We start from the raw sequence: 12,750 nt of genomic DNA, 5'->3' as shown, positions 1-12,750 counted from the left end.
ACTCCAATCTGGGCAATAGAGCAAGACTCTGTCTAAAAAAAAAAAAAAAAGCTCTGGCACTGTCTACAGCCTTGTTTCCTGCTAAGAAGTCAAAGGAGCAGATGCATCTGGTCTTGCTCTGAGCAATAATGGAAGAAATACCAGGACACAGGTGGAGGCCTGCAATGTTATGACCCCAACTCCCACAGGCTCCTGAAGCCCACATACATCCTGCCTTTCTGAAGTCTTGGCTAGTCATTTCCCCCAGAATCCTTTCAGTGAAACCCCCTTTTTTGTCTAATGGCTTCTGTCACCTGCAACCAAGAATCCTAACAAATACAACCAGACAACACTGGTATCTGTAGGCTTCAAGGCTACTTCAGCAGCTTTCCCCAGAATTTACTAAATACACAATCACTGAGGTACTGTATTTCTTAAGGCCCTTGTAAGTGCCAGACACTGTGCTAAATACTAGAGAGATAAATATTAGATGGCTTTTCCTAATCCAGATCCTCTACTTCTGAACAAGTGTAACCCCACTTTTGGTCCCAAGAGGTCAAGAACTGGAAGGGTTGCCTGCCTCAGGGTAGGAAAACTCCCTCTGGGCCTGTTTGCCCACCTGTAAAATTGGAATTGGGCCAGTGATTTGTAAACTTTAATCAAGGTTCCTAGGTGTTCCATAGGGATACCTGAGACTTAAAGGAAGGGATGGGAGGGTAAGTGAAATGGTCCCTTGGCCCTCTTCTACTTGCTCATTCAGACAAGCCTGGTTTTATAAACCAACTTCTGTGTCAAATTTCTTTGGTCAAAGAATTCCTTTGCTATAGGGAAAGTTTGACCAGATGACTCCTAAGGTCCAACCTTTCAGCTTTTCCAGCTCCAAGATCCTGTATCAAAAATGTCAGCCCTTTGCTCTCCTTCCTTCATTAGAGGCACTCACTAATAAAAGGTGAACTTTCTAAACGTGAAAGAGCAAAAACAGCCAAATATTGGGCAACTGGTCCCTGAATAAAGGGTCATCAAAAACTTTCTCCACAAGTTTCAAACCGTTGCTTAATTCTCATAATAAAGGGTGAATTTAAAGGGTGTTTCTCCACTTAGGCAAGAAAGAGTCATCGACCAAAAAAACTTGTTACTGCAGAAAGCAGTGAGGTGATTTCTGGGGCCTTCCTGTTTTGTTAGGTATTAAAGACTATCATTATTTTATTATTGGGGAACCATGAGTTCCTTTAGTGAGATTAAGTCCAAATCTCTGAAACTGGAGACCTGGTTTGCTAATTCCAGGTTGGGGATAAGGACCCATAATTGTATTTTTTAATAGCTCCGCAAATGACTCCAGTACTCAGCAACGTTTGGGAATGACAGAGTTTGTCATCTGCAATAGTCCTGAATACAACTATTTTCAAGGCTTCTCTGCTCCACTTACAACAATATTGCTCAGGGTTGTCTGCAAAGTACAGGACTGGTGGCAGAGGATGAGGGAATGGGGAGTGTCTTGGACATTTGGAAAATATGCTAACCTGCAGAAACTTACTCAAAATCCCAGAACAGTTCGTTCAGGAGAATGGTCCCCATTCATAATGTCCCCAACTAGACCCTGGACTTCTGAATGGCAGAAATGGAGACCTGTGCTTAGCTCCAGCCCCACAGGACCATGGCAGACTAGGCATTCAGCCATTAACATCTGTTAATGTTACACATACCAAACAGGAACTGACTTGAGTCAGCCCTCTAAGCAGCCGAACGCCATTTCATTTCATGTCTAATCCTCATGAAAGGAAACTCCAATCCCCTGCCACGTAATTAAGAAAGACAAGATTGTTTTATTATTATTTTATTTTCATATACAAAAAGATAAAACTTGAAATAGTTCTAGATTTTTCCTCCTATTGTTGGGGTGTAACTGCTTCTTCACACAGGGGGAAAAAACTACATTCACATCGGTTTATTTGAGGACCCAGTGCAGAGTTCAAGCAGCAAAACCCCAACTTAGCAGATCTAATTTCAAACTTGACACTCATTTCTAAAATTACCACAGTAAAAAGGAACAAAGATCCACTGCAAATGAATGAACTATGATACAATGTTCTTTCCAAAATGTTTTCATTTTGCAACTGTAATTACATGGATGTCTGCTTTAGGCCATTTTAGGTGTATGTGTGTGTGTGTGTGTGTGTGTGTGTGTGTGTGTGTGTGTGTGTGTGTGTGTGTGTGTGTGTGTGTGTGTGTAATATATATATATAAATCAGCACACTTTTCAAATCCAGACAGGGTAACAGCAACAAGCTTAACTCTGTATATATATATATATTTTTTTTAAACATGATACTTTAGTATAACTTTTGTTAATTCAGTAGTACAAGCTATTTCTGTTCTACAAAATTTTTATTTTATAGCTACAAGGGTGAAAAGTGACCTACTACATTTACATCTCACATATCCTGGTATACAAACAGTACTTATTTGAGCCAAAAACTAGAAGTCTTTAGTTTTAGCACTTGAAAGAGCTTCCTTGCTTCTACAGCCTTAAATCATATACTAGTCACATTTCCAGAGTTTGCAATTACTCATCATTTTAAACTGTGAGAAACAGGTGAACCCAAACTTTTAATTACAATTTTTATATACAAGTTAGGTAACACAGCTCAATAAGACTTAGCTATCCATCCTAAGCCCAACACACACATTCTCCACTAAGTTAGACAAGTCTTAGGGTTTTCCTTCTTTCCCTTACAAATAATGTACAAATTTAGAAGTAGCTGGTAAAACTGATAGATATATATAAGATGGCAAATAAAAGGTGACATTTTCTGTTGGTTCCAAAACTGTTCCTGCAAATTTTGTCCTTTGCTGTGTTCTTTAACCGTATGTGTTACATGCAGAAAGCTCTTTTCATAAGAATTGACAACAAACTCGATGTAAGTTAAATTTACAGTACTGTATAAAGTTATTCAGATTCAAGGACAAATGTGGAAAAATATTAACAGGTGAAAAACTTGGCCTTTGACACTACCATTAAGATCATGTCCAGTTCATAAGCAGATTTTTGTACAGTTGAAAAATGGCATTGTTGTGGATTTGTGGTGTGGAACTGAAATCTAGAAATATATTTCTACTCTGCGGTAACCCTCTCCCTCAATTCTGAAGTACCACTCAACTTTCTCTGCATTTTTACAGAATTACAGAAAAAAAGAGGAAAAAAAAGCCGCTGGCATTTTAACAATTCCTTCCCTCACTGGCAGTCTTAACATTTTCAGATGAGGTCTCCTGAAGAATCTCTAATAATCACTTGCTCCCAGTCGGCCTTTCATGATGACTTGGACACTTTTCAAGTTAAAACTCAGATGTTGCCTAATCTTTTCTACTCTCATCTCTGTCATTGTTGGTAAAATTTGGGTGACTGCATTTTTCCCTTACGGAGAAATTATTTGGCTAAACACACACTTAACTCGTGGCAGTGCTCTGAGAAAACCCCACTCGGGCTAAAGCACTTGCAGGGACTGAAGTCAACAGTCCACTGAATGGGGCAGAGAACAAACACTTAAGATGACTGACTTGGGACCCTCACTGGGAACACACTGACCTTGTGTCCCATGGTCTGCGGAACAGCAGGTCTACAGGACTGCAGGAGAGCCCAGGAAGGTAGCCCATGCTCGTATAGCTGAGTTACCACTTTTAATCTTGGTCTGCCATCTATGCCCCAGAGACAAAAATTCAGATGCGGTGACTGCTGGTTAATTAAACTTTTTGAACTGGTAAAAAAGGCTCTTTAAAAAATATATATATTTATTTAAAATACATCAAAATGACAAACAGCCATATCCCACAAGGCCTAATTTCACAGCAACATATGCTACAGACATCTTCCCAAAATGCACTATGGTGGATAGTGGGTTTTTTATCCTGCCATTTAAAGGAATGTTCTACATTTGAGCATTAGCGACTGGAAATGTGTTACAAAGAGCTTATCTTTGGAACTAATTTGCGTGCAAGACCAGCCAATTAAATCGCTTTGCCTATTCAGACACACAAGAATACTGAAAATGGCAGAATTCAAAGAGGAACACAGGAAGCACCATTCAGATGACACTCTAGACCCATCCCACCACAATGCCATGACGAGCTTGCCAGAAGCCCTTTCTTCAGTCCTTGGGAAGAGTTTTGCTTTAAAACAAGTGCCCACGCTCAGCAGGGTTCCTGCATGTGTACGTTAAAAGTCTGCAGTATCAAGAGGACCCAGATGGCGACACTGTTCAACATGAGGTCTGAGGTAACTGGTTCTTAAAATACCTGGATCACAGAAGTGCATCCAGAAATTAGGGCTGGGAAAAAGGAAAAAGGTAGAGGTTGGGGACTAGAAAAGACAAGTAGAAAAAAGCTTACAGCAGTTGCTTTTGGGGCGAAGAGAGTGATAAAAACAAAGGCACAACAGAATTACATTCCAAGACACGTGGCTGGAGAGCAGAGAAAATGTTCTTTTTATGGGGAACAGATGGGGTTGGTTTCTGGAGTGCTACTAGATCTGCTGGAACTAAATTTATTCCAAGTATAAAAAGGGTAAAGTGTAAACCTATACGCTCAACCAGAATGAATAAAAAGCACAGCTGGTTTAAAATGACACATTAGGGATTCTCTTGATAAAACTATCCCGTCCAGTGCACCTCTGTCTAGAAGCAGCAGCCTGAAGCCAGCGGGCAGGGTCTGGGGGACAGGTCTTCAGCTGGGCCTCAGGACTGGCCATTATGCATACCAGAAATTAACTTAATTATTCATTATATATCGCCACCAAAAGTCCCACACAAATAACCATCCACTCTCTGCCTAAAAATAAATAGGCTAAAATGAAGACCACTTTCCGTATTGTGGCAGTGATGCTGAGCTTCCTCAGAAAAGCAGGAAAACTCTGGAGCTATCTGAAAGATGCTCTGCTGTTACTGGGGTTCTGAGCTTCCTCACTGGGCTCCTGGCTGATTCCACAGATTGAAGCAGCGAGCCAACCCAACCATTCTCACTGACCAGAGAGGACAAAATGTGCCTGGCAGCTCTCCATTTAATTGGATCACTGCATCCACATGCCACCCTCCCCACTTTTCTGAACAATTACTTAACTGGGTAATTCTGCCCCCCAACCTGGATAATGTGATCTTAGATAATTCAGTCTGGTGGATTACTCAAACCACCAGATTCTCATTTCAAAGTTTTTGTACCTGAATCTTATTCGAGTCCCATCCCACCCCAATAGGCACCCCTATACAATTTCTGTTCCCCCAAACACTCTCACATGACTATGTCCTATGGCAAAGGCTTACAAACTAATTTTTGACCTCAGAACCCTTTGTTCAACAGAAATCTCAGGAGGAAGCACCAATGTAAAACACATTGCAGGCCCTCTCTCCTCCCAATCCACAAGAAGCTGAGCTGAATATCACTGTCCTACACAACCACAAGTGGAGTTTTGGCCAAAAAAGACCCGCAAATTGACTCCAGTCTGCCAGTGTATCACAAGAATCCATATAAACACTAAGTAAAAGTTCCACACCACTCATGCTCCAGTGTACGTTTCTCTTGAAAGGTAAAGCTCATTAGCTCTGATTACAAAATCATTCAAATTCACTAACTTTATAAAAATAATCTGTGGTATAAAACAATCTCCACACTGTGTAGAAGAAATCTGTCAAGTGATATAACTAAATATATATGTAGAACTATCGATTTTTTTAAAGTAAAGTTTCAAGTGTTGTGTATCTATTATACAACCTATTCTTTTATTTACAATGCTAACATTCTGACGCAAACATGATTAGGAGAGTCAGGGAATGAGCCCACACTCAACCAACAGAGAAGTTCCCAGGACTCAAGACAGAACTCATGCATTTGCAAGAAGACCCATCCTCACCTGCCTGAAAAACTTGTGGGTCATATTTTTCATAACTGTGAGCTCAAAAATGTAAACTTTGCAAGTGAATGTAATACTCTTCTGTAGATGTCCAGCATAGCCCAGGTTTATATAACCCCTTCCATACACACAAAGAGTGGTGTGTACATTGCTTTAGTGCCCTGTGGTTGGTTTACAGTAGTTCTCAGAATTACCTAGGCCCTAGACAATCCAAAGACACTGCCCTAGAGAAATGAAGGCAGTGCAGGGCCCATCACCACACATTGGCATTTAGAGAATATGTGTTTCAATTACTGAGGAAAAATCACTTCGGTTACCTCTATGAGCTGCCATAGGAGCAAATAAAGTATCACTGGTTTTGGCACTACAGGGGATACAGGAAGTACCACAATCAAAAAGTCATGTTTCATTCATACCTGGAAAATACCATCATGAAAATGTAAAAACTTGGTAATAATTTAAATAATGGTAAATTCTTTAAATTCAAATTCTTTTTTGAACCAAAGTTTACAGTGGACCCAAAATAAACATAAAACATTCAAAATGTCCCACTAGATAATTTGGACTTTTCTTTGTTGGCAGGCCTTTTGGAGCCACCAATTGTTTTAAAAAATGTTACTGGGTCAACCGAATTAATTTTCAAGGGGGTGTTTTTCCTACAAAACTAAATCATTATTTCAAAAATCTTTTCCAATCTTCTAAAGGTTTGGGATACATTCATAGGTAGACTGCTGGTTGCAAATCAACTATCTGGAATCTTACTTAAAGAACTATGCTTATAACCCTGAATTCATTAAACATTTACAAATCTAGACTGAGAAGATATACAGTTCATCAACTGAATTACTGGGCCTGTTTATCTAAAACATTACTGTCAATTGAGATTTAAACTCATCATTACTAGATTGAACATGTTAGCTGCTAAGTATTTCATTAGTTTAGAATTTGCAAACAGCCATTAACTAAAAGAATTCATGTCACCCCAGTGAGAAGGAGAAAAAGACACCTTGTCCCCTTCTCTTTTTGGCTGTTCGCCCAGGATGAAGGGTAGATGACTAGATTCACGGAGCTTCTTAAAAAGGTATGGTCTGATGCCCCTGAAATGGGAATCAGGCGTGGCCATCTCTCCAAAGGTGTGCCATCAAAAACTCAACAGGCTAAAATAACTGAGACTGAAAATTAAACTGAGTTAACTCCTGGAAACTGCTTTCCAATTAGTATATTTTTCTAGTGAAATAAAGTTCTCGAGAATAACTAGCTGTCCAACTTCTAGTACCAATTCTAAAAACTTACATACTTATGCTTACTGTATTATTTTAAAAACCAGCAAATCTTTGTGTTACCAATAGATGCTGGAAACTTTATACTGCATACTAAAAAAGGCAAAATTCTAGTTTCAAGAGGGCCATCCAATACTCCCACTTTAATGGAACAGCCACCTCCCCACCCTCACGGCTCAGAGCACAGGGGCCAAGTGACAGGCTTTCTGAGCCACACACAACACATGAAGGACATTCAATACACAGCTGGGCTTCCTTCCACCAGGGAAAAACCCCACACACAGCCCGAGCACACAAAGCATAGCAGGATGGAGGAAACGAGAATGTGGCCAACTGAAGAGAAAGGTGACAGAGCCCAACTACAGGATGAAGTGCTTTGCTGTCTAAGTTATGTCAAGAGGGTTAGCCTAGCCTCTTAGGGCAATGGAAGAACTATCTCTGTGGCCTGGAGATGAGAGACCCTTCCCTTTGCTAAGAATATGTGAGCAAGAGTCTCTATCCTCCTGAAGATGTTCAAGGCTGAAAAACAACCTCCTTTTTCTGCAGAAACACCCCCAAGTCCGGACATGATGTATTCAGAGTCAGAATCAGCTGGCACGTGTGGGTATGCCCTCCCCAGGCAGGACTGGTCCCACAGGCTCCTCTCCAGAGCAGACAGGACAAGAAGGCCATGCTGGACAACAAAGGCTAATAATGCTCACCATCTTCCCTCACTGCCAGGTGTCACTTTCTCCTAAGCACAGCCCACTTGCAGCCCTTGCCCCTGAGCAACTCATGCAAAGAACTCCTGCTGAGGACCAATGGTCCCAGGAGAAAACCCAGCTTATGCCAGGCCAGGATGTTCTGATGACTATGTCTACAGCCTTCCCCAATGCCCCATCATTGAGGGCCCTCTGCGTGACACTGTAATACAATGGCCTCTGTCCTCACTTGCTTCCTCCTTCTGCTCATTACTGGATTTCTCCAACTAGGGATGACTTCTCAGTTATCATAGATGCTTTCAAAGAAGATTCTTCCCCAAGGCCCATCCCTACAGCCAGGAGCCTGCTTGGATGACAGCACACTAGAAAGGAAGAAGCAAGGATCCTTGGCTACTCTCTGCTAACTTGGTCCCCTCCCACCCTGCATGGAACAGCCCCTCCCATTGACAGGGAAAATGATGCCAGGCCCCATTTTCCCCAGTCTGCCACAGAGCCTGAGGTCAAAAACAAAAAGAAACCAATTATCTGAGCCCACCAAAAGTGCATGTCACATGAAGTCATTATGGAAAAGAGCACAGGCAGAGGCTCTATGACCCAGTAAATTCAAAGCAGGGCTCGAGATGGCTCACTCCTCAAAGAACACATGACAGCAAACAGACAAGCATTTACCCGGGGCAAAAGGCCCATCTGTGCTCCTAGACCCATGCCCTATAAGGAGATCCCCCACCTTCTTCTTGCCATCAGAACCAGATATACCACCTGATGGGTGCACTTTACACCACAGCATGAGGGGAAGAGTGGCCTGAAGCCCAAAGAACTGGCATGGACCACACTCCTCCCCAGCCACACCAAAAAGGTACCATCTCCTGACACACAATCTGATGGCAAGGCCCCACAGGGACACTATAGTGGCTGAGCGTACGGTGGGCCTAACGGGGAGGCCACCCAGAGAAAAGGCACGCAGGCCTGACCTGTCTGTACTGTGTCTTGACCGCAAAGTCCCACACCAGAACCATGGCTCAACCCTCCCTTGGCCAGGTCAAAACTTCTCACAAGAATCAAGCCAGCACACAAAAGAAAAACCACCCAGAGGAACTAAAACCAAACAAAGAGGCTGGGGTTTAGTGTTCAGGTAGTATCATGACCTAACTATTCCTGCAGTAAATTTGCTACATTTGTTAGTCGTTTGTTTCTTCTGAGGATGAAAAGTAAAGATGCCTGCACTGCCTGAGGCGAAAGCTAAAGAAATTAGATATGGCACTTTTCAATAAATATTTTAAAGCTTCTTAAAGAAATAAATGGTAAAGAAAAGCAACTGCTGTAAGGCCTGTTTTGCCATTAAAAATTATTCTAAGGGAAAAAAAATACCACAGCACAAAATCAAACCATTAAAAAAAAAAAAAAAAAAAAAAAAAAAGACAACATAGCTTACCGAAACCCTGTTCCTGTAACCACTTGGCCAGCCCACATTTTGACCCATGAAGCAAAAACTGAGCTCCGAGAGGGAAGCAAATGGGCCTCCCATAGCACCCTGTGCCCCAACACCCAGAGGAAAGGACCCCGGGGCAGTAAGCCCCAGACACTGAACATAGCACACTAGGTAGATGCCCAGGCATGTGCAGTGCCCCTCACACTGTGGACTCCAAGACCAGCAAGGGCAAAACCCTTCACTCCCAGACACGCTGCACTAAAAGACTGGCCTGAGTCACGGTGTGCTTCACAGAGGCGCCACAGATCTCTTCCAACGTTGCTGTTAATTTGCTGAAGAAGTTAAATCCCAAGTAAAATCACCCCATTCAGGTCTAAGGGCCATCCTTCTACCAAGTTTAAGCGGGGTTACTTGTCATTCTGAACACTGACCGATCAAGTTACATGTTACATGTGAATTACATGTGAAGCTCCAAACAACCCAAGAGGAGGCGGCCTCTTCAGTTCTCACCCAGGTCAACCTCTCCCCACGGCCCCCGCCTTGCCTACCCTCACGATGAAGAGATGCACTGTTTTTAAATAAAATGATCTAAAGAAACCAGAAGGAAAAGCCTTCACAAACAAGACTGATAAATGCCCAGACTTGGCCCAGACAGCCAACCTACAGTTGATGACAATTATTTACAAGGGGGCGTTATCAAACAAAAATGGTAGCACTCCCTAGAAGATGCAAACTTTTTTCTTTTTCTCTATTTCTTTTAAACTTCCTTGTCACAAAAGCCAACTTACATTAAAATATACTTACTACAAGACAACACAACTAACAAAATATATAATAAACCTTACATAAGTAGAAAATTCTGAGGTATTTCTGGTTTGAGGTGATCTGTGGTCGTGAAGTTTTAATTCTTTTACTTTTCAAAATTTAAACCTTGGAAGCCACATAGCGAAGCATGTGTATATGTGGATGTGTGTGTTTTGTTTGAAAAAAAAAATTTAGCATGTTTCATAAATTAAAAAGAATTCAAATGTTGAAACAGCAGCATTAGGAACATTCACTGACTAGAGCAAGGTTATGGCATAATAGAAAAACAGTTTTTTAGAATATGTACCACTTTAAGGGGTCTGGAGAAAGTCTTGTCCACGAGCCACAGAACGGGGACAGTAATGTCACCACCTGGGGCGGAACCAGAGGTGCAGGACTCTGGGGTCCCCAGCGAGGCAGGCCTTGGCAGACTCCACCCAGGAAATCCTCTTGCCCTATCTGTGCAGGACAATCCCCTGTGGGCATTTCCCTGAACTGCTCCAAGAGGAAACAAAAGTATTTCAACTTTTCGTCCATTAAGGGTATTTACAGCATCGTGTCTTATGAAGAATGTATTCCTAACCTGTGATGATTCTACCCTCACCTAGTTTTAAAATTAGGGCAGAAAAAATGTTTCATCCTATGCCCAAGGCCAAGTTAGTGAAAAGAAACTGGTCAGGGCCAGCAGGTAAGTCAGGGCTGCACCCAATCTCAGACTTTCTCCAAACCCCGCTCTTGCTGTTAATGCTCGGCCTCCACAAGGTCCTTCCCCTCAATTCCTGGTTACCTGAGAAGTAGCCTCCATACTAAAGGATGCTGCTCCGAATGTGCCCGAGTCCAGTGTAGCTCTGTTCCAAACCCTACCCCCAGTACCGTCCTCCCCTTCCAACTCCAGTCCAAACCATTCTCATCCCAGTTTTTTTCTCGATCAGGACAACACCCGTTAGATCCGTGAAAGACACATCTGCTGTTTCTTAAGCTCACTAAAACAAAATAAAAGGAGGGGAGGGAGGGAGGCAGGGGAGAAGGGCAGAGGGCAGAGGAAACTCCTCTTCTGAGGAAGGTATGTTCTTATGTAACAGTCTTCAAAGGTTCCTCTAGGTAGAGTTTGCAGCATTAGGTTTCCTAAGACAGGAGATGGGTTTCTTTGTGTCACAGATTCTGAGACGACAAACAAAGAGAAAGCGGGAAAAACGAATCCCAAAGGACAGGAGGTGGCTGAGGCTCTTCAGCATGGCGCTGGTTCTGCATCCACAGCTCAGCACCTCAACGCCTGCTGACGTGTCCGCTGTTTGTGATACAGTAGAGCAATATGCTGGTAAAAACTGATCCAATCCAAAAAATAATATTAATAATAATAATTATAATAATTATAATAATAATAATAAAAAGTCAAGGTAAAATAGCAGCTGCATTTTATGTGTTTGTTGGTTTTATGGGATTTCCAAAACAAAACACAACTTTTTTTCCTTTTTTCTTCAGATCCACTGAGTCTGGACAGACACTCATGTCCTGGGCTTAGATGCTTGACTCTTTAGGGGGCAGGTCCACATTGGTGACAGAGGTCACCAGGGAAACGAGACAGTCCGAGGTAGTGCCGTTGACCGACCTCCGAATCAGGGACACCCGCTCCTCCACACAGCCCGCGGACAAGCGAGCCTCTGCATCATGGTCCCAGCACTCCTCGATGGTCACACAAAGCTGGGCCAGGCCCTAAGCAGCATAGGGCAGACAGGAAAGACACCTTTGTTAGGACCCTTCAGTGAGGAAAAGCTTTGGGGGACAGTAAACTTGATATTCCCAAGGATCAGGCAGAGCCCACCAGCCCCAACCACAGCAGCAGGTCCACCAGCAGAGGCCTGGGGAAAACTTCAGGAATCAGCATGCCTGCCTTCATGGCAGTCATCTTTCTGAGCTTACTGGCCTCACTCCACAGCCCTAGGAAAGGTTCATTGAACCTCAACATACACAGGAGGGAGAAGGAGACACCAAGGCCCCTACTAGGATAGACACCACTACTTGCCTTGAAGTGCTGATATTCAAACAAAATCTTATTGGAAGCCCAAACCATACAAGTGCCCAAAATGTAGCAGTTCAGTCAAAGTGGGGATCAGGAGAAGGACATCATCCTACCTCACTCCCCATAACCCCTGGAACACATCCCTAGAGTCCAGGGAACGTCGCAGACTTTCTATTTGCCCATTCCCCCTTGATTTCAGCTTACCTGCTACACATGAAGGGTTTTCCCTTCTCCACCCCCCTGCAAAGTTGCCTGAACCAGGCCCCTTACCGGGTGTTTCAACCAGTGATCTTTAATGGTGGGCCTCATCTTCTTGTGCACCACCACCTCCTGCAGCTCCTCCAACGAAGGGTGCTGGCCAATCTCTTCCTCAAAGGGCAGCATGTACTCATCCACGGGTCCTAGGAGAAAGAGAGAGCCTGGCAGGATCACTCTAAGGTCCCACTGCTCCCTATCACTCAATCTAGGATGCCCAGGGCTGCCATCCTACTTACCGTCTGCAGCCTTGCAGCGAGACACAAGCTCCCACAGCACCAACCCCATGGCATACATGTCAATGCGCAGGAAGGCATCTCTCTGGAAGTTGATGGCTCCCTCGAGCACCTCAGGAGCCATGTACCGTCTCGTGCCTACCTATGTGA

General features: G+C 43.2%; 1 protein-coding gene across 5 annotated transcripts in view; it reads right to left on the bottom strand.

Annotated features, from left to right (window-relative positions):
- ACVR2B (activin A receptor type 2B) overlaps positions 1,798–12,750 on the bottom strand; it is a 39,253-nt gene continuing 28,300 nt past the window's right edge. For all 5 annotated transcript variants that reach the window (NM_001106.4, XM_017007515.3, XM_005265583.4 and 2 more), the window contains exons 9-11: positions 12,604–12,742; positions 12,380–12,510; positions 1,798–11,802 (exon numbers count right to left, since the gene is read on the bottom strand). In NM_001106.4, coding sequence (NP_001097.2) covers positions 11,608–11,802; positions 12,380–12,510; positions 12,604–12,742 — 465 coding nt within the window. In that variant the 3' untranslated portion in view covers positions 1,798–11,607. The remainder of the gene's footprint in view (positions 11,803–12,379; positions 12,511–12,603; positions 12,743–12,750) is intronic.

Source organism: Homo sapiens, chromosome 3 (assembly GCF_000001405.40).
Source record: "Homo sapiens chromosome 3, GRCh38.p14 Primary Assembly".
In the NCBI taxonomy this organism is placed as follows: Eukaryota; Metazoa; Chordata; class Mammalia; order Primates; family Hominidae; genus Homo; species Homo sapiens.
The sequence above is the reverse complement of the archived record's forward strand: the minus strand, read 5'-3'. Positions and strand labels throughout refer to the sequence as shown.